The sequence below is a fragment of the Homo sapiens genome, chromosome 2 (assembly GCF_000001405.40).
Source record: "Homo sapiens chromosome 2, GRCh38.p14 Primary Assembly".
Classification (NCBI taxonomy): Eukaryota; Metazoa; Chordata; class Mammalia; order Primates; family Hominidae; genus Homo; species Homo sapiens.
Window position 1 is genome coordinate 87,255,333 of NC_000002.12, and position 21,804 is coordinate 87,277,136.

Sequence of the window (21,804 nt, forward strand, 5' to 3'; positions counted from 1 at the left end):
GGTTGTTTTTTTTTTTTTCTACATTTAGGTCCCTTATGTGGCAGAAAATTCCAAAATATATTAGTAAAAATGAACCCACCTTACATACTCTTGGGGTTTCGTTGAAATGTTGAGAAGTTAAGAAACTTTGTTAGATTATTTTACTTAATTTTTAAAAAATAGCCTATCAAGGAGTTTTCAAAACTTTTTAGGTGTATAAACACCCTATTTCGGAAACCACCGTATTTTACACTTTCACTTCCCACCTACACCAGCTCAGTGACAAGAAAGTGTCTGAAACAAGGTGCAAAATCAAGGTTCTCAGAAACACGCTTGGGACGTCTTGTTCCGCAGCTTGGCTGCTCTTTCCGCCCGGAGTGTCCTTAGCCTGTGCCCCTTTCGAACTCCGGCACTTTGTCTGCGGAGTAGCTCCAGCGCAGTCTCCCAGCGTTACCTGGCAGCCTCCTCCTTCCTGGAGCAGGAGAAGCGGCTCTGTCTCCTGTGTTCCATCATCGATTATGGCTGCTCTCACACTGGGTTAGGAAGGTTTGGTCACCTGAGTGCCTCCCTCCTCTGTGCTGTTGGACTCTATGGTTTACATACTCCTAGATGCTATTTTTTACATACTCCTAAGTTTTCAACCTGAGAAATCTGAAACCATCCCCTAACCTTACCTGGTTACCTGTTGAAAAATGTGTTATCCCAGAGGTAGATTCTTTGGGTCCTAGGCATCTGGACTTGCAAGAGTCTCATGTCAGTTTCATGTGCTTACAAAGGTGATAACAGAGAGGGACATAGCTGTGAGTTTTTCCCAACGGCCAGTGAGTGCTTCGTTCCCTGTATCATGTTTTATTTATTTATCTATCCCCAGGGCTAGTGCAGTTTGGACATAGGGTGCTATGGGTTGAATTACATACTTGTCAAATCCATATGTTGAAATCTTAACCCCTAGTACCTCAGAATGTGACATTATTTGGAGAGAGGGTATTTATAGAGGTAATTAGGGGAAAAGGAGGTCTTTAGGGTGGGTCCTAATTCAATATGACCGATGTCCTTATATAGAGGGAAAATCTGGACACAGAGCTGTATACATCCAGGGAGAACGTCATCTGGAGATGAAAGCAGAGATCAGAGTGATGCAGCTCCAAGACATGGAATGCTGAAGATGGTGAGCAACCCACCAGAAGCCAGGAGAGAGGTATAAAAGGTTTCTCCCTCACAGCCCTTAGAAGCCACCAACCCTGCTGATGCCTTGATCTCTGATCCTCAAGGATGTGGAGTAGCTGTGTGAGAGGCTGTCTGAGGGCTCTTCAAAAAGTTCATAGGAAATGCATATTATGAAAAAACTATGCTGGATTTCAAATTTTTTGCACCAAAATTGATTTGTACTACCTTTTTATAACATGTTCATGCACAATCTAGTTTGAGGCACTAAGAAGGATAATACATCAGTTTGAAAAGAGCCTCTATCAGAGCAATGTGAATTTCTGCTAAAATTGAAGTAAGAACAAACATCAAATTTATAGTGAAGCTTGAGGGGAAGTATAGTGAACTCATTGATGCTTTGTGAAAAGCTTATGGAGACAATACCCCCTTCCCCCAAATCAGCAGTTTACAAATAGATAACTTCTTTTAAGAAGGGAGAAGTTGAGGCTGGGCACAGTGGCTAATGCCTGTAATCCCAACACTTTGGGAGCCTGGGGCAGGTGAATCACTTGAGGTCGGGAATTCAAGACCAGCCTGGTTAACATGTGAAACCCCATCTCTACTAAAAATACAAAAAAAAAAAAAAAATAGCCAGGTGTGGTGACAGGCACCTGTAATCCCAGCTACTCGGGAGGCTGAGGCAGGAGAATCACTTGAACCCAGGAGGCAGAGGTTGCAGTGAGCCGAGATCATGCCACTGCACTGCAGCCTGGGTGACAGAGCAAGACTCTGTCTCAAAAAAAAAAAAAAAAAGGGAGAAGTTGATGTTGAAGATGAAGCCTGTGGTGGCAGACCATTCATGTCAATTTGCAAGGAAAAAATTAACCATGCCCTAATTGAAAAGACCTGATGATTAACAGACATTTCAGTTGGTTCAGTTTATGCAATTCTGACTGAAAAATTAAAGTTAAGTTTTCCACTCAATGGGTGTCAAAACCATTGCACCCAGATCAGCTGCAGACAAGAACAGATCTTTCAATGAAAATTAAACAAGTAGGATGAAGATCCTGAAGGATTTCTTCAAATAATTGTAATAGGAGACGAAACATAGCTTTACCAGTACAATCCTGAAGACAAAGCACAATCAAAGCAATGGATACCAAGAGGTGGACATTTTCCAGTCAAAGCAGAAGCAGACCAGTCAGGAGCACAGGTCACAGCAAGAGTTTTTTGGGATACTCCAGGCATTTTGCTGTTGACTGTCTGTAGAGCCAAAGAATGATAACATCTGTTTATTATGAGAGTGTTTTGAGAAAGTTAGCCAAAGCTTTAGCAGAAAAATGCCACTGAAGAATTCAGCAGAGAGTCCTTCTCCACCCTGACAATGCTTCTGCTCATTCCTCTCATTAAGTAAGGGCAATTTTGTGAATTTCAATAGAAAATCATTGGGTATCCAACTTGCAGTTCTGATTTTGCTTCTTCTGACTTCTTTTTGTTTCCTAATTAAAACAAAATAATTAAAAGGCATCCATTTTCTTCAGTTAATAATGTAAAAAGACTGTATTGATATGGTTAAATTCTCAGGACCCTCAATATTTTAAGAATGGACTAAATGGGTGGTATCATCACTTACAAAATTGTTTTGAACTTGATGGAGCTTATATTGAGTAATACAGTTTATAAAGTTGATATTTTTCATTTTTATCTTTTGATTCCATTTTCCATGAACTTCCTAAAGTCCTCTTGTATTTCTAGGAGGGTCTTGGATTAAAAAAAACAGGAGGAAGGAACAAGTGAGAAATTACTCTCATAGTTTATGGCGTGTCTTAACATCAAGTTACTTTTAAGTCTTTTATTCTTTTAGGAAGATATTTTCTCTTTCAGGGAAAATTAAGAAACATCAGGGCCTGAGTTATGTTGGAAAATCTCTCCCCTACTCTGACTGTCTGGCTTTATTCTGAGCTCCCAAGCTATAACAGTGGCACTTGGGTGGGATGAGAGTGGGGTGGGGCTCACATCTACATGGCTGAAGACCAAGGCAGAATCTCACACCCAAGTCTTGATTCTTTGTGCTGCTTAGCTGTTGTTCACACCACTTTTCCTGCTTGTGTCCAGATCTGAATGAAACTGATGGCTGTTGGAGAGGCCTTTGTCATCTGACTCTATCTGTTCCTCTGTCAAGTAATACCATCAATGATGCTATTCATAGAAACATTTCATGTTTGAGAGGTGTTAGGAGTTGAATTGTCTTCTAGAAGCTGTTGAATTCCTAACCCTTTATATCTGTGAATGTGACTTTATTTGGATATAGGTAGGGTCTTTGCAGATGATCAAATTAAGATGAGGTCAGTAGGGTGGGCCTTAATCCGTATTACTACTGGTCATTCTAAAAAGGGAAAATGCCGATACAGACAGATGCATTCAGGAGAATTCTGTGTGAAAATGAAGGTGGAGATCAGTGTGATGCATCTCCACACCAAGGAACACTAAAGGTCACCAGCAAACCACCAGAAGTGAGATGCGAGGCATTGAATAGGTTTTCCTCGCAGCTTCGGAAGGAACCAACCCTGTTGGCACTTTGTTCCTGGACTTCCAGCCTGCAGGTGGTTGTGTAAGCATTTCTGTGGTCGAAGCCACCTGGTTTGCAGTACTTTGTTAGGGCAGCCCTAGCAGACTAACACAAGAGGTCATTGAAAGTGTCATATCCAGAACAGTGTGCCTTTTGGGGGAGGAAAGTCCAGTTGGCCCTTTCACATACACGAACATCTCACATTTAAAGACACAATTCCAGGCTGTCTGTGGACACTCATAGGTGCCCGTGAAAGCCGCCTCAGCCATAAACTTCTTGGAGTCACATTGTGAAGTATTTATTTTTAATTACAGATTTTCTTTGATGATCCTCTTCTCTTCTCTTTTTGTTTCCTTGGCTTGTCACTCATTCGTTGTGGTAAATAGACTGCCTGCTGTTTACGATGAGAAGTAGCCTGTGCTTTGGTCTGGTCTCCTGACGCCCGGTTGCCAGCAGTCCTTGCTGTCTCTGGGTTGGAAGCCGTGATGCCTGCTCATGGGCTCGCTGTCTCCTCAGGCATGAAAGTGGAGGCATCCTTCTGGCTCTATTTTCAACTTACCTTGGTGAGGCCACAAGACCCTATTGACACATGAAGGGGAAGCACAGAGGGAAAGGGGGTTTTACTTTTCCTCTTCAACAGGGCTAGCCCTCGGGGACTGAGCAGAGAGAGTTGTGAATGCTGGGTTTTGAAACTGGCCCCAAACGATTGTCTCCTGGAATCAGAGAAGGAACAACCGACTGCACCTAAAAGAAACAGAGTGTTTACCAGTCTTGCTGGATGGCTTTAAAAACGCAAATACATACGCATTCTCATTAGCCCATAGCACTCAGCCATCTTCACCCCCATTAGAGAAAGCCAGTCTGCTGCCTGCCCCCCTCAAGTCACTGCTGAACTCATAGCATGTGTCGGGCTTCTGGAACCTCACAGATGTATTGCCGCAGACACCCTTTAGATGAGAGGTGTAGGTTAGGGGCACAGGCAAGGGAGCGGTCACTCCTAGACCTGAAGCATCTCTTCCATAGACGTCACAGTATATATCTTCCCAGCCAGCTCCTCCCCAGCCCTTCAGGGAAGGTGAACACAATTCCACACTAGAGTGGCTTTTAAAGAAAAATAACATGTATGAACTCTTCCCAGAATTCTATGAAATGAATGAGTTTGCATTACTTTTTCTAGCTTATGACCTGAGTCTTTTATTTTTTCAGATACATTTAGTTGTGTCTTTCAAAATCTATTTTTGCAGAACCTACCCTTTGTTAGCATTGGGCTGGAACCCCGGAAGGATAATTATGTGTGGGACTTGGTAGCTGCCCTTAGGTGTACAATCCCATAAAGGAGAGATGCCATATGCAGAATGATGAAATGCAGCATGAGGCTAAGTGTCCAGCATGGGTTATGGAGGGTAGATGAGAGAGAGGTTGGTGCCCAGAAGACAGCCGTCCTGCCTCGGGCCTATATGTCTGCAGAGGCCCACAGGAGTGGGGCAGTCCTGTTCAGGGAGGGCTGAGGGGTTCTCCGAATCTTATCAGGTAGGACAGGGAGACTTTAGAAAGGATTGGGCATTCAGTTTGTGGGTGTGTTATAAGCAAAGTCTGGAGCAGCTGTGAGTTGGATTTCACTGGGTTTCATGGAGCAGATGTCTCTTGCTGGGGAATGATGGGATGTAAGACTAGAGACAGACACAGTCAGAGGCGATGTCTGCCTTGAGGCAGACAAACAGATTTCAACTTGGTCTTCTGGGCCTAGGCAGTGAGAAGCCTGGAAGGTGTCTGAGCTTGGAGATGACCTCATAGAGCCAACTTTTTGGAAGATTGGTTGGGTGGCAGAGTACACTGTATGAAGGCACAGGAGAGAGAAAGGACAAATGCACAAAGGAAGGATCCAGAATTCCAGGGCAGGCTGGACATGTGGGCCTGAAGGAAGGGGAGGGGTGAAGGGAGACCTGACCATGGCTTCTGCCTGCTTGACCAAGCTTGGCATGTACATTAGAATATACAGAGTTTGAGGCCTGAGGACCCTTGTTCTTTTTCAATAAGTAATGGTATTTTAAAAACCATCTCTGGGTTTTATCATGAGCAGAGGCGAATTCCATGCACAGTGAGGACTGTTTTATTTATTTATACTTGTTGAATAGTAAACAGCATTGAAGAATGTTTTTAAAGAAACCCAAACTTCCTTTTCCATTTCTCAGTATTAACTTTCTTTTTAGCAACTAGGGACACAATTGAATGCTATTGTCTTAAACCTGCCTGACAGAGCAGAGGTACACGCTGGGGGGCGTGGGAACCTCTATTTGGCAAAGGGAACTTCTCCTGTTATTCCCATATGGAAAGAGACATAAATTTGGGGAGAGCTTGCTCCTTCCCTACATTTCTGTGATCCATGGTTAACAGTCTCCTCAAGTGAATTTCAAATTCTCTTTCCAATAAGCTGCAAAAGTACTTAAATCATTTATTTGTTCTGCTCCTGAAATGAGAGTTACTCACTAAAGTCCCAAAGTGTCCCGAACCATGAGGTGTCCACAGTGAAATGACATGTTTAAAAGTTGCCATAAATGCTGGTAACTGGACATGATAATAAATCTGAGTCATTTCACATGGCCAGTTGGGTCGGTAATAACAAGACATGCACTTAAAATATATATCTTTTTGCCTTTCGGGCTATAAAGATTAATAAATTGTGTAAATTTCCAAGATAAAGTGTGAGACATTCTGAATTTTATGTGAATGACTTGCATGGTGACAGTAACCATGTTCTGGCCCTTGGAACAGGAGGTAATTTACTGTTGATGGTTTCTTGGCATAATATATATACGTATTTGGGGGGTAATAATTTAAAATCATCCAGCACATGGTCTCTGATAAGGTGCATAACTCAGGTACTCAGAGTTGTTTTATAGGAAAAGAGATACAGGCACACCGTGCGACTGCAATCCCGGCACGTTCTCCTTCCTCAGGAATGACAAGGGATGGAAACCTGGCTCCCCACGGGGAATAATAAAGCATGCCTGTGAAAAATGAATCCTGGACCTGAGCTCAGGGCCAGAGTGCTCCAAAATTTGGGGCTTTCCCAGGACTTAGTCCAGATTTGCTTCTGTCCAGGCCAGTGACCGCTTGAAGCTGTAGAGGGCAGGGGAGGGAGGGTCCCCTTCCTGAAAGGGAAGTGCTGTGAGACGTGGCTGTCACTGATACCAGTGGGGACCTCTCTGCCCCCAGCCTCTAATCATGCTTGAAGGTTTACTCTCTGAGCATGGCTTGAGAAGACAAGGGAAAGCAATGGAGATTGGCCATCACAGCCAAATTCTGCCTGATATGGAGGCCTGAGTCCTTTTGTGCAGGTGGTGACTCACTGCCCTGTTGAATGGGAGGAAGGAACAGTGATCAGACCCAAACACTCTGGTTTTCTTCCCACCTGTTTCTCAGAAGTAATAAGTGCAGGGCTCATGCTCTGCCTGTGTGTGTGTGTGTGTGTGTGTGTGTGTGTCTCTGTGTGTCCTGTGTGTGTGTCTCTGTGTGTGTGTGTGCCTGTGCGTGTATGTCTCTTTGTGTGTCTATGTGTGTGCGTGTGTGCCTCTGTGTGTCTCTGTGTGTGTCTCTCTGTGTCTCTTTCTCTGTGTGTGTTGTCTCTGTGTGCACGTGCATACATGTATGTCCCTCTGTGTGCCTATGTGTGTGCATGTGTGCCTCTGTGTGTTTCTGTATGTGTGTGTTGCAGAGGAGCTGCTAATGTGTTCTCATGCTGGTTGTACTGCCCCGCCTTGGAACAACTTTATCCTTGGGTGCAGGGGCTGGGTGAGCCTGGAAGCTGCCAGATGCAGCACATGATGGAGGAGAAGGGCCTGGAAACTTTTGCAGTTGTCACTCAACAAACACTCATGCAGCTCCTCCTGTGTGCCAGGCCAGGTGCCAGGAGCTGGAGGGAATACAGAGAGTGAGCCTGCCGCTTTGGGATCTCATCTCCTGGAGGAGGAATAAGTTATCTACTTAGGTATTCAATTTTAACTGGTATTTAATTACAGCCATACAAGTGGTTCCATTATTAGTCAAGCTGAACTAAGTTTTGCTGCAATAACAAATTTTCCCAGAATCTCAGTAGCTTAACGGAGCAAAGGTTGGTTGCTTGTGAATGCTGTCTGTCCTACAAGGTGGTGCTCTGCTCTGTACAGTCACTCAGGATTCAAGGCTGACAGGCTACCTTCTTCTTTAGGCTGTGCATTCTGGAACATGGGGTTTCTTTAGCCTCTGTAGTGGGGAAGAGAGACAAGAGACTCACTCACAAGCTTCTCTATCATACTACCTTATGATGGAGGTGGTGTTATTAGCCTTTTTACATCTGAGGAAACTGAGGCACAGAGGAGTTAAGTAACATGTCCAAAGTTTCACAGCAAGTGAGTAGCAGAACCAGGATTGTGAGCTCCAGCCATCTGGCTCCAGAATCCCTGTTCTTGTCATGCTCTGCCATCTAATTAAACAGTTTCTTGGGAAGGGAATGAAGAGATGTCAGACAGGCCAGGAGCTCAGGGGACTAGAAAAAGAATTTATCAGAAGAAGGAAAGTATGTCGGGGAATGACAGGGAAGGATAAATGAGCAAGGCTAGAATCCCAGAAAAATAGAGAGACTTCATCTTGGCTGGCAGAATAGCTTTTGCAAATTCGGGATTAGAAGCCTGGTTTCATGAGTTTGGGACGAAAGCTACAGAAAATGCAGACACAGGGTGGATCTTACGGATTGTGAAGTCAGGGAGGTCTGAAATGAAATAGAAATGGCCCAAGGAAACCTTTCATATTCCTTTTTGTTTCCACATACATCTGGCCACAAAAGCTCTTTGGTGGTTTATCCCATCTCACTGCTTCCTTAGGGCTCTTTCAAACTCCTTGCATCTATGTAAGCATGGATAAGGAGCACAGCAGACATGGGACACACCTGTGTTGCTTTCTGGGCATGCTGTAGGATGCCACTTTTTGGCTGTGCACCTGGAGCAAGAGGCAGCAGGGCAGCAGCACCCAGCCCCCTGCAGTTGAAGCTAAAGACTGCAGCTGCAGCGCAGGAATTCCCCAGTAGGACAGGAAAGCAAACACAGGCAAGATAAGGTCAGAGACAGCCAACTGTTTACAGCGTCCAAGCTCTTCCTGGGTTTGGTCCACCCTATTAAAAGATAATAACCTCTTAAAACATTTCAAAGGATGTGTTGGCAGTGTTTAAGAGGAAACATAATTGTCACCACAGCCTGGGTAGTGTGCAATTGAGTAGGAGACCATCTTCAGGATAGGATGGGTGATGGGCAAGATTGTGCTGGGAGAGGAGTTCGTTTGAACTGCAGACTCCAGAAGCTACAGTGGCTGCCCAACCCATGAAAACACCCACAGATGCTGTAACTGCTGGGTATCTGTCATCTTTGGAATAAACCACTCATGCTGGGGTCTCACTTTCTAAGCCATTACCAGCTGCAAGGGTTGGCTTTGTGAAGGCAAAGGGAAGTTTACTTTATAACGATGTAGGCTATGTGGAGATATAGAATTATAGGAGCACAAAGTGCATTACTGACTCACTGTTCTGCTGCCCATAGAGCAGCTCATCCTGCTTTGTGAGGCATTGCTGTGAGTTGCCTTCAGGCAACTTGGGAGGAAGAGCTGCCTGAAACCCTTTCTTGAATCTTCTTTAAGGTTGCTGATCAGGACCCATCTACCATGGGAGGACTGTGGGGATTCCTCCATGACCTCAGTGCTGAGCTGATCTGGCTCATTAAGAGATGGTTCTTACGACCGGGTTCGGTGGCTCACGCCTGTAATCCCAGCACTTTGGGAGGCTGAGGTGGGCAGATCACCTAAGGCTGGGAGTTTGAGACCAGCCTGACCAACATGGAGAAACCCTGTCTCTACCAAAAAAATACAAAATTAGCTGGGCGTGGTGGCACATGCCTGTAATCCCAGCTACTCGGGAGGCTGAGGCAGGAGAATCACTTGAACCTGGGAAGTGGAGGCTGTGGTGAGCCGAGATTGCGCCATTGCACTCCAGCCTGGGCAACAAGAGCGAAACTCCATCTCAAAAAAAAAAAAAAAAAGAAAAAAAAAAAAAGAAAAAAAAAAGAAAGAAAGATGCTTCTTACAAAGAACTCTTTCTTTGCATCTCATGGATAATCTGAATTGTACATCTCACTGAACTACCTTCTTTGCCATGGCTGCTGGGGTGCCCAGAGCAAGTGACCATGGCATGCATGCTGTCACCTAAGTGGCTTTCTCTTATTTTTCTTTTCCTTCTCTGTTATTTATTCTGTTGTATTGTTTATATTTTGATAAACTCACTTAAATTCATTTTGGGACAAGATGGGATCTAAACCAAGAAGTAGATAAATATGTGTGCTTTAGAGGGTAGTTATTGCAGAGTCTATCCTGGGAAGAGTGGCTCCTTTGTTCAGGATGCCTTTCTGGGTATGAGGGGTGGGTTCAATTCCTTCCATCCCTTTCTAGAAGTATGTAGTCTTTGATGGATTCATTGAGTCACTGATTTGTTCTGTGGACACTTATTATGTGCCAGGCCCTGTGCTAGGCCTGAGGAAAGTGACGATGACCTCAGAGTTATGTTCCAGTGGTGGGAGATAGGCAAAGACTATGTAAGTGGGCAGAGACACTAATTACATGTAAGAACCACTGCCTTGAAGGGAGAATGAGGATGAGGGTGTGTCTTAGGTGGGCTGCCATAGCAAAATACCATCTACTGGGAGGCTAAAACAACAGACACTGATTTCACATGCTCTTGGTGGCTGGAGGTCAGAGATCAAGGTGTCAGCAAGTTTTATTCTGAAGCCTCTTCTTTTAGCTTGTAGGCAGCCACATCTCACTGTATGCTCACATGACCTCTTCTCAGTGTTTGAGCAGATAGAGAGAGAGAGAGTGCTTTGATATCTCTTCTTACAAGGATGTTAATCTTATTGGACCCCATCCTTATGACCTCATTTGACCTTAATTATCTCCACGAAGGCTTCATCTCCAAATCACATCACACTGAGGCTTGGGGCTTCAACATATGCATTTTGGGGTGGGCACAGACATTCAGTCATGACAGAGAGGGAGAAGATCTACTTCCTATGGGGTGACGCAGGAAGCCCACTCTGCAGAGGGCAACATGCATGCTGGAATGGAAAGGATAAGAATGAGGTGGCTGTGGGAGAGGAGGGTGGGGAGGCATGTGAGGGCGCGAGGTGGAGAGAACAGCCAGGGCAGAGGCCCTGAGGCTCCCTGAGCAGCTGGTGTGGTCGCAGCTTACTCAGGAGTGGAGAGTAGCACAGGGGAGGATGTGAGATGAGTGGGGCACGAGTGTGCAGAGCCTTGTAAACCAGCTATGGTGAGGGTTTTGGGTTTCCTACTACATCCAGTGCAACGTTACTGAAAGATTGTAAGCAGAGGGATGTCATGATCTGGCTTAGGCTTAAGGAGCTGTGTGGACAGTGGGCTGGAGGGATTGGGAATGGAGGCAGGAGACTGCTTGTCAGTTTTGGTAAGAGGCTGGGACCATGGTGATGGCCACGTTCTAGAAGAGAGAGTGGAATCTGTTGATGGAGGAAATGTGAGAGACAGGGAGAGGGAGCACTTAAGGGCAACTCCTAGGCTCTAGGCAGAACATTTAGGTGCATGGCGATGCTGTTTACTGAGCTGAGGGGATGCGGAAGGGAGCAGAGGCAACGTGTATGTAATGGGTAATTGCATGTGTCAATTTGACTGGGCTAAGGGATGCCCAGATAGCTGGTAAACATTGCTTTGGGGTGTGTCTGTGAAGGCATTTCCAGAAGAGACTAGCATGTGAATCAGTAGACTGAGTAAAGAAGATTACCCTCACCAGTGTGGGTGGGCATTATCCAACTGAGGGCCTGAATAGAACAAAACGGCAGAGACAGGGCAAATTCACTCTCCCTGCTTGATTGCACATCTTCTCCTGCCCTCGGACATTGGTGCTCCTGGTTCTCTGGCCTTTGGGCTCAGACAAGGTGATATGGTTTGGCTGTGTCCCCACCCAAATCTCATCTTGAATTATGGCTCCCAAGATCCCCATGTGTCATGGGAGGGACACAGTGGCAGGTAATTAAATCATGGGGGCTGGTTTTCCCATGCTGTTCTAGTGATAGTGAGTAAGTCCCACGAGATTTGATAGTTTTATAAAAGGCAGTTCCGCTGCACATGCTCTCTTGCCCGCCACTGTGTAAGACATGCCTTTCCTCCTCCTTTGCCTTCCTCCATGACTGTGAGGCCTCCTCAGCCATGTGGAGCTGTGAGTCCATTAAACCTCTTTTTCTTTATAAGTTACCCAGTCTCAGGTATTTCTTCATAGCAGTATGAAAATGGACTAACACAACAGGGCTTATACATCACCTCCCCTTTAGACTTGAACTGAGTTACATCAGTTCACTGTCTGCAAGCTGGAGGTTTTCCTGGGCCTCCAGCTTGCAGACAGAAGATTATGGAACTTCTCAGCCTGGGTAATTGGGTGAATGAAGTCCCATAATAAATCTCTTATATTTCTCTACATGTCCTGTTGTTTCTGTTTCTCTGGAGAACCCTGACTAATGTAGTATGTAAGGCACCCAGTCATAAGGGCAGGCTATCCTTCCATTAATGACCTCATTCCGGGTGTATCTGTAGCCTAGACCACTCTTCTAGGAAAATCCTATTCCCTTCTTGTCTCTTCCATGTGGAAATCTCACAGACATTGCAACCCAACCCATCCAAATCAGATGGGAACCAGGGGTTTAATGTTAACAGGTGATATCTGCTGCTGCCGGTCTGCCATTGTCCTAAAGCATTTTATACACATTTTCTTATCTTAGAAAGTCCCTGTAAGATAGGTGTGCTAACAAGAATCATTTTGCAGCTGAAGAAATGGAGGTGCTACTGGCTCAAGGAACCTGGATTCATTTAGAGAGTGTGCCCAGGATGAGACGTGTGGAGAGCCTGGCCTGAACCAACACTAACAGTCTCCTGGACAGGAGGTGAGTAAGGAAGAAGCGGCAGGGAAGGAGGGACACCGGGTGAAAGGAGGTGGGTGTAGGAGGAAGGAGATCACAACTGTGTTGAAAGTCCTAGCAGCCTGAGAAAGACGGGGGAAGAAGGCCCTGCAATGAACCCTGTGACCTTGGGAAGGACAAGTCCTCTTGCCCCTGGGGCCCACTGTCTGAGTCCCTAGGAAGTATATATACAAAGGGTTTCGGAATGCAGAGTTTGCAGATGTGGGCTGCAGCTGCACCCTGTGTGTGACTGGATGGAATTCACAGCTAGAAGTGGTTTTGTCCCTGGCTGCTGAATGTATCAGCTGTTGGTGCCGCTTTAGTTTTATTGAGTGGGAAGGATGTAGACCCTGAGTCTGGAGAATGGGACTGGGCTGGCCATGGAGCCTGGAGAAGAGAATGAGACCATGCAAAACCTTTATTCCTTGTTCTTGGTTTCTTGTTAAACAGGCCCAGTGCCACCAGATTAAGGAGGTGAGGGGGCGGTTGTAAGAAAGTAAGAGATCAGTCTGAAGATTATAAATATGGGCCAGTGCAACAAAGGGAAATTCTTGTGTCAATATTTTTCTGAGCCAGCACTTGGGAGATCCTGATTTCCTTAACAAAATGATAACAAACATTTTTTCATGTTAATAATGTAAGATGAACATTTCCTTCATGTTTAAGCCACTGAATGTGCAGTGAACAAAAGACATTTACATACAGGCATATTTGAGGATATGGAAGGTTCAATTCCACACCACTGCAATAAAGCAAATATCACCATAGAGCAATTTATACAATTTCTTTGGTTTTCCAGTGCATGTAAAAGTTATGTACATTATACTGTAGTCTATTAAGTGTGCAATAACCACTCCTTATCTGTCTAAGAAACATACATACCTTAATTAAAAGATACCTTATTGCTAAAAGATGCTAAAGGTCATCTGAGCCTTTAGTGAGTAATAATCTTTTTGCTTGAAGGAGAGTCCTGCCTCCGTGTTAATGGCTGCTGACTGACCACGGTGGCGGTTACTGAAGCTTGGGGTGGCTGTGGCAATTTCTTAAAATGAGACAACAATGAAGTTTGACACATCAGTTGACTTTTACTGTCAGGAAAGATTTATTTGTAGCATGCAATGCTGTTTGGGATAGCATTTTACCTACAGTAGAACTTCTCTCAAAAAAATGGAATCAAGCCTCTCAAACCCTGCTGCTGCTTTATCAACTAAATTTATGGAATATTCTAAATCCTTTTTTGTCATTTCAACGATGTTCACAGCATCTTCACCAGGAGGAAATTCCATCTTAAGAAACCACTTTCTTTGCTCACTCATAAGAGGCTACTCCTCGTCTGTTCAAGTTTTAATATGAGATTGCAGCAATTCAGTCACATCTTCAGGCTCCACTTCTCATTCTAGTTCTCTTGCTATTTCCAACACATCTGCAGTTACTACCTCCACCAAAGTCACAAACCCCGCAAAGCCACCTATGAAGGTTGGAATCGATTTCTTCCAATCTTATGTTAATGTTGATACTTTGACCTCCTCCCATGAATCAATGTTTTTAATGACATATAGCATGGTGAATCCTTTCCAGAAGGTTTTCAATTGACTTTGCCCACATCCATTAGAGGAATCACTATTTTTGGCGCTATAACCTTACAAAATGTATTTTTTAAATAATAAAACTGGGAAGTCAAAATTATGCCTTGATTCATGGGCTGCAGAATGGATGTTTTATTAGCAGGCATAAAAACAACATTCATCTCCTTGTACATCTCCCTCAGAGCTGATGGGTGACCAGGCATATTATCAGTGATGAGTGCTATTTTGAAAGGAATCTTTTCTTCTGAGCAACAGGTCTCAACAGTGGGCTTAAAATATTCCACAAACCATGCTGTAAATAGATGCTATCATCCAGGCTTTGTTATTCCATTTTTAGAACACAGCCAGAGTATGTAACTCATTTATTTATTTATTTAATTTATTTATTTTATTATACTTTAAGTTTTAGGGTACATGTGCACAATGTGCAGGTTAGTTACATATGTATACATGTGCCATGTTGGTGTGCTGCACCCATTAACTGATCATTTAACATTAGGTATATCTCCTAATGCTATCCCTCCCCCCTCCCCCCACCCCACAACAGGCCCCGGTGTGTGATGTTCCCCTTCCTGTGTCCATGTGTTCTCATTGTTCAATTCCCACCTATGAGTGAGAACATGCGGTGTTTGGTTTTTTGTCCTTGCGATAGTTTGCTGAGAATGATGGTTTCCAGCTTCATCCATGTCCCTACAAAGGACATGAACTCATCCTTTTTTATGGCTGCATAGTATTCCATGGTGTATATGTGCCACATTTTCTTAATCCCGTCTATTATTGTTGGACATTTGGGTTGGTTCCAAGTCTTTGCTATTGTGAACAGTGCCACAATAAACATACGTGTGCATGTATCTTTATAGCAGCATGATTTATAATCCTTTGGGTATATACCCAGTAATGGGATGGCTGGGTCAAATGGTATTTCTAGTTCTAGTTCCCTGAGGAATCACCACACTGACTTCCACAATGGTTGAACTAGTTTACAGTCCCACCAACAGTGTAAAAGTGTTCCTATTTCTCCACATCCTCTCCAGCACCTGTTGTTTCCTGACTTTTTAATGATTGCCATTCTAACTGGTGTGAGATGGTATCTCATTGTGGTTTTGATTTGCATTTCTCTGATGGCCAGTGATGATGAGCATTTTTTCGTGTGTCTTTTGGCTGCATAAATGTCTTCTTTTGAGAAGTGTCTGTTCATATCCTTCGCCCACTTTTTGATGGGGTTGTTTGTTTTTTTCTTGTAAATTTGTTTGAGTTCATTGTAGATTCTGGATATTAGCCCTTTGTCAGATGAGTAGATTGCAAAAATTTTCTCCCATTCTGTAGGTTGCCTGTTCACTCTGATGGTAGTTTCTTTTGCTGTGCAGAAGCTCTTTAGTTTAATTAGATCCCATTTGTCAATTTTGGCTTTTGTTGCCATTGCTTTTGGTGTTTTAGACATGAAGTCCTTTCCCATGCCTATGCCCTGAATGGTATTGCCTAGGTTTTCTTCTAGGGTTTTTATGGTTTCAGGTCTAACATTTAAGTCTTTAATCCATCTTGAATTGATTTTTGTATAAGGTGTAAGGAAGGGATCCAGTTTCAGCTTTCTACATATGGCTAGCCAGTTTTCCCAGCACCATTTATTAAATAGGGAATCGTTTCCCCATTTCTTGTTTTGTCAGGTTTGTCAAAGATCAGATGGTTGTAGATATGCAGCATTATTTCTGAGGGCTCTGTTCTGTTCCATTGGTCTATATCTCTGTTTTGGTACCAGTACCATGCTGTTTTGGTTACTGTAGCCTTGTAGTATAATGTGAAGTCAGGTAGCGTGATGCCTCCGGCTTTGTTCTTTTGGCTTAGGATTGACTTGGCAATGTGGGCTCTTTTTTGGTTCCATATGAACTTTAAAGTAGTTTTTTCCAATTCTGTGAAGAAAGTCATTGGCAGCTTGATGGGGATGGCATTGAATCTATAAATTACCTTGGGCAGTATGGCCATTTTCATGATATTGATTCTTCCTACCCATGAGCATGGAGTGTTCTTCCATTTGTTTGTATCCTCTTTTATTTCACTGAGCAGTGGTTTGTAGTTCTCCTTGAAGAGGTCCTTCATATCCCTTGTAAGTTGGATTCCTAGGTATTTTATTCTCTTTGAAGCAATTGTGAATGGGAGTTCACTCATGATTTGGCTCTCTGTTTGTATAAGAATGCTTGTGATTTTTGCACATTGATTTTGTATCCTGAGACTTTGCTGAAGTTGCCTATCAGCTTAAGGAGATTTTGGGCTGAGACGATGGGGTTTTCTAGATATACAATCATGTCATCTGCACACAGGGACAATTTGACTTCCACTTTTCCTAATTGAATACCCTTTATTTCCTTGTCCTGCCTGATTTCCCTGGCCAGAACTTCCAACACTATGTTGAATAGGAGTGGTGAGAGAGGGCATCCCTGTCTTGTGCCAGTTTTCAAAGGAAATGCTTCCAGTTTTTGCCCATTCAGTACGATATTGGCTGTGGGTTTGCCATAGATAGCTGTTATTATTTTGAGATACGTCCCATCAATACCTAATTTACTGAGAGTTTTTAGCATGAAGGGTTGTTGAATTTTGTCAAAGGCCTTTTCTGCATCTATTGAGATAATCATGTGGTTTTTGTCGTTGGTTCTGTTTATATGCTGGATTACATTTATTGATTTGTGTATGTTGAACCAGCCTTGCATCCCAGGGATGAAGCCCACTTGATCATGGTGGATAAGCTTTTTGATGTGCCGCTGGATTTAGTTTGTCAGTATTTTATTGAGGAATTTTGCATCGATGTTCATCAGGGATATTGGTCTAAAATTCTCTTTTTGTTGTGTCTCTGCCAGGCTTTGGTATGCTGGCCTCATAGAATGAGTTAGGGAGGATTCCCTCTTTTTCTGTTGATTGGAATAGTTTCAGAAGGAATGGTACCAGCTCCTCCTTGTACCTCTGGTAGAATTCGGCTGTGAATCCATCTGGTCCTGGACTTTTTTTGGTTGGTAAGCTATTATTGCCTCAATTTCAGAGCCTGTTATTGGTCTATTCAGAGATTCAACTTCTTCCTGGTTTAGTCTTGGGAGGGTGTATGTGTTGAGGAATTTATCCATTTCTTCCAGATTTTCTAGTTTATTTGCATAGAGGTGTACAGTGCAATCAAACTAGACCTCAGGATTAAGAAACTCACTCAAAACCGCTCAACTACACGGAAACGGAACAACCTGCTCCTGAATGACTACTGGGTACATAACGAAATGAAGGCAGAAGAAATAAAGATGTTCTTTGAAACCAATGAGACCAAAGACACAACATACCAGAATCTCTGGGACACATTCAAAGCAGTGTGTAGAGGGAAATTTATAGCACTAAATGCCCACAAGAGAAAGCAGGAAAGATCTAAAATTGACACCCTAACTTCACAATTAAAAGAACTAGAGAAGCAAGAGCAAACACATTCAAAAGCTAGCAGAAAGCAAGAAATAACTAAGATCAGAGCAGAACTGAAGTAAATAGAGACACAAAAATCCCTTCAAAAAATCAATGAATCCAGGAGCTGGTTTTTTGAAAAGATCAACAAAATTGATAGACTGCTAGCAAGGCTAATAAAGAAGAACAGAGAGAAGAATCAAATAGACACAATAAAAAATGATAAAGGGGATATCACCACCGATCCCACAGAAATACAAACTACCATCAGAGAATACAATAAACAGAGTATGTAATTCTTAAAAGCCCTAGGAGTTTTGGAATGAGCGTTGGCTTCAATTTAAAGTCACCAGGTGCATTCGCCCTAATAAAAGAGTCAGCTTGTCCTTTGGAAACAGGCATTGACTTCTCCTCTCCAGCTATGAAAGTCCTAGATGGCATCTTCTTCCAATAGAAGGCTGTTTTGCTTGCATTGAAAATCTGTTGTTTAGTGTGGTCACCTTCATCAATGATCTTAGCAAGATCTTCTGGATAACTTGCTGCAGCTTCTATGTCATCACTTGCTGCTTCACCTTTTTTTTAATTTTTTTTTTGACGTTTCACTCTTGTTGCCTAGGCTGGAGTGCAATGCTGTGATCTCAGCTCACTGCAACCTCTGCCTCCCAGGTTCAAGCAATTCTCCTGTCTCAGCCTTCTAAGTAGCTGGGATCATAGGCGTCCACCACTACTTCTGGCTAATTTTTGGTATTTTCAGTAGAGACGGGGTTTCACCATGCCTGGTGGCCAGGCTGGTTTCAAACTCCTGACCTCAGGTGATCTGCCCGCCTCGGCCTCCCAAAGCGCTGGAATTACAGGCATGAGCCACCACACCAGGCCCACCTTGCATTTTTATGTGATGGGGACAGCTTTTTTTCCATAAGCCTCATGAACCATCCTCTGCTAGCTTCAACCTTTTCTTCTGCAGCTTCTTCACCTCTTTCAGCCTTCATTGTATTGAAGAGAGTTAGTGTCTTGCTCTGGATTAGGATTTGGCTTAAGGCAGCATGGCTGGTTTGATCTTCTATCCAGACCACTTACGCTTTCTCCATATCAGCGATAAGCCTATTTCACTTTCCTGTTCATGTGTTCACTGGAGGAGCACTTTTAACTACTTTCAAGAACTTTTCCTTTGCATTCACAAGTTGGCTGTTTGGTGCAATAGGCCTAGCTTTCAGCCTGTCTTGGCTTTTGACATGCCTTCTACTAAGCTTGATCATTTTCAGCTTTTGATTTAAAGTGACAGATGTGTGACTCCTTTCACTTGAACACTTAGAGGCCATTGTAGGGTTATTATGGACCTAATTTTAATATTGTTGTGTCTCAAAGAACAGTGAGGCTTGAGAAGAGGGAGAGAGATGGGAGAACAGCTGGTCAGTGGAGCAGTCAGAACATACGAAACCTTTATCAATTAAATTTGCCATCTTATATGGGCATGGTACCCCAAACAGTTATAATAGTAACATCAAAGATCACCGATCATATGTCATATGTCACCATACAGACATAACGATGAAAAAGTTGAAAATATTGTGAGAATTACCAAAATTTAACAGAGACAGGAAGCGAGCACATGCTCTTGATACAATTGCTTGACACAGGGTTATCACAAACTTTCAATTTGTAAAAAATGCAATGTCTGGGAAGTGCGATAAAATGAGGTATGCCTTTACTGACTTTAATTTTAGTAAATGACTTCATAAGGAAAAGGAAAAAATGTCATTGTGAGGGCACTGTGTTTGTTATAGACTAGCTAGGTCATCAACTGGGTGGTTTTGATACTAGCAGAGTCCTCCATGTGCTAGGACACTGTTTGAAATTCTTGTTATAGCTTTAAAAGTCATGGTTTTATCAACTAACTCCCTATTAGTTACTGTAATTGAATTTTTATGTTAGCTTCCACTAGTAGCAAGTTTTTGAGTCAAGATGGCCCTTGGGTTTTATTGCCAACCCTGACAGCAGAATCCTAGACAGGGTCGCTTTGCTCTTAAAGCCTCTGATGTCCAGTTGCAAAGTGAGTATAATTGCTTCTCTCTCAGATCTGTGTTGAGGAGCTCAAGAAATAACGAATGTGGAAGCACTCAGATCAATTACTTTTTTTGTTTGTTTCTACCTTATCTAGTTTCCTAGGTCAAAAGTTTGCTTGGCTAATGGAAGAAAGGAGTCCCAACCTTTCCAAGTGGGACAGATTCCCTAGCTGTGCTCTGTATATTGAATCTGCTTCTTATCATTTGGCTGTGGTCTGTGTGAGTGCTGAAAAGGAGGAGATAATTTCACGCACTAGGGAAATGGAAAAGACTCCTGCTTGGCAGGCACCAGGGTGGCAAGAGAATCCAGGATGTGGCCACGCACAGCTTAAAGACTACATTTCCCAGCTGCCTTTGCAGGTGAATGCCATCAGTGAGACCTAATTGAGAGTATAGTCTGGGGAGTCTGGGAATGTTGCCTAAGAAAGGCTGATTTAGTTGGTGGTGCAACTCCCTTTTTACCTCCCCTCTTTCTCTCTTTCTGGAATGTGGATATGATGGCAGAACCACAGATGATCTTGAATGAGGAGGTCACTTGCTGAGGATGGTGCAACAGAAAGATGGAAGGAGCTCAATCCCTGATGAGCTTGTGGACCTACTGTATCAGTCCTGGATTACTCACTTTCTGTCTTTTATGGAGAGAATAAACCATCCTCTTTTTAAGTTGCTCTTCCCCCTTTGTTTGTGATCCCTCTTACCATAGACCAAACTTAATTCCTAATGAATAGATCTGCCAAATTGTTTATATCAGAGATGACAACAGGAACACATCTGTTTACATTTTCCTTTCTCCTGAAGCCCCACCTAGTCCCAGAGGGTGGTGTGTTTCTTCACTGCTATTTTGGGCAGAAGCTACCCGGCTGTGGTGGTTAAAGTCAGCACTGCTGTTAGCCCTTGTGGGGCCTTTGTGCAAATTGAAAAAAGGCATTCATATCCTAAGACACCTTCCTGTTCTTTGCCAGAAAAATGTCTCAATGCAAATTGACAATGTGTGGACAGGAATGGAACATGCCCTTGAGAAGCAGCCCCTGCACAGGATGCCACTGCTCAGCTTTGGGTCAATGTCCAGGCCAGTATCTGACCTCGAACTTCTCTCTAGGTCTTCCACCTTTACTTAGCACAGGCCTCAGAACAGTCCAGCCAGGGGTCTAGGAGAGAAAGTGGCTGAGACTGTGTGAGATGGGGATGGGGCAGAGGACGGATAGGGTAGAGGGTGGATTACAGTGAGTTTCTGGCTATTGACTGCTTTCACATGAGCAGCTCATTTCTGTGCCAACCATTTGACTAGTAAGTTGGCAGAAGCCCTGCCTGTTGGTCACATTCTGGCCCATGCTACAAGGCCACCTGGCAGGCTCAGGCTGCAGCACGGCAGGCTGTGTGCACACGGCTATCTCCCCTAGTCTGTCCCCAGAGCTGTCTGTGCAGTCCTGAGCTCCCATGTAAGCCAATGCTACTTTTGTGTGAAGAAGGTGGACGAAATCATCAGCAACTCTTGCTTATATAGAATGTGACCCAAGCAATGGAAAGAGAAAATCCAGGTCTTGGTTTTGTACTGGCTTGCGAGAAGTCCTTCTTTTCCTCTCTAGCAATTTCCCTACATCCATCCCTGCCTACCCACATTGGATTAAAGGGAAGAGAGAAAAATGCCCTAAGCCCCAGAGAGAAAGGTGGCAGAACCATGATATTGCTGCTCTTGACTTTGTAAGATGGCCAACATCAGCCCAGAGAAATCTGATCTGAAATAGAATGAGCTCACCTGACTTCGAAATTTACCACATTTGTCATGAGGCAGTCACTTAACCTAAAAAGTAAACAGGCTCTTACTCTGTCATAGTTTACATTTGTGTGTGTGTGTCCTTTTCTGTTTTCTTTCTTTCTTTCTCTTTCTTTCTTTCTTTTCTTTCTTTCTTCTTTCTTTCTTTTTAGTAGCTTTAACTTGTTCTGCAAACAAAGAATATGACAGAACAATGTACGTTCCTTTGAAATGGCACCATTAATCTTGATAGCAAGTTTCTAATTATGAAGGATAGAGAGCTTTG

General features: G+C 43.5%; 1 long non-coding RNA gene across 1 annotated transcript in view; it reads left to right on the forward strand.

Annotated features, from left to right (window-relative positions):
- The first annotated feature begins 58 nt into the window (after nt 1-58).
- Nucleotides 59-21,804, forward strand: part of LOC107985908 (uncharacterized) — a 66,991-nt gene continuing 45,245 nt past the window's right edge. The window contains exons 1-2 of the long non-coding RNA XR_001739577.3: nt 59-1,177; nt 12,558-12,675. This is a non-coding gene — a long non-coding RNA (uncharacterized LOC107985908). The remainder of the gene's footprint in view (nt 1,178-12,557; nt 12,676-21,804) is intronic.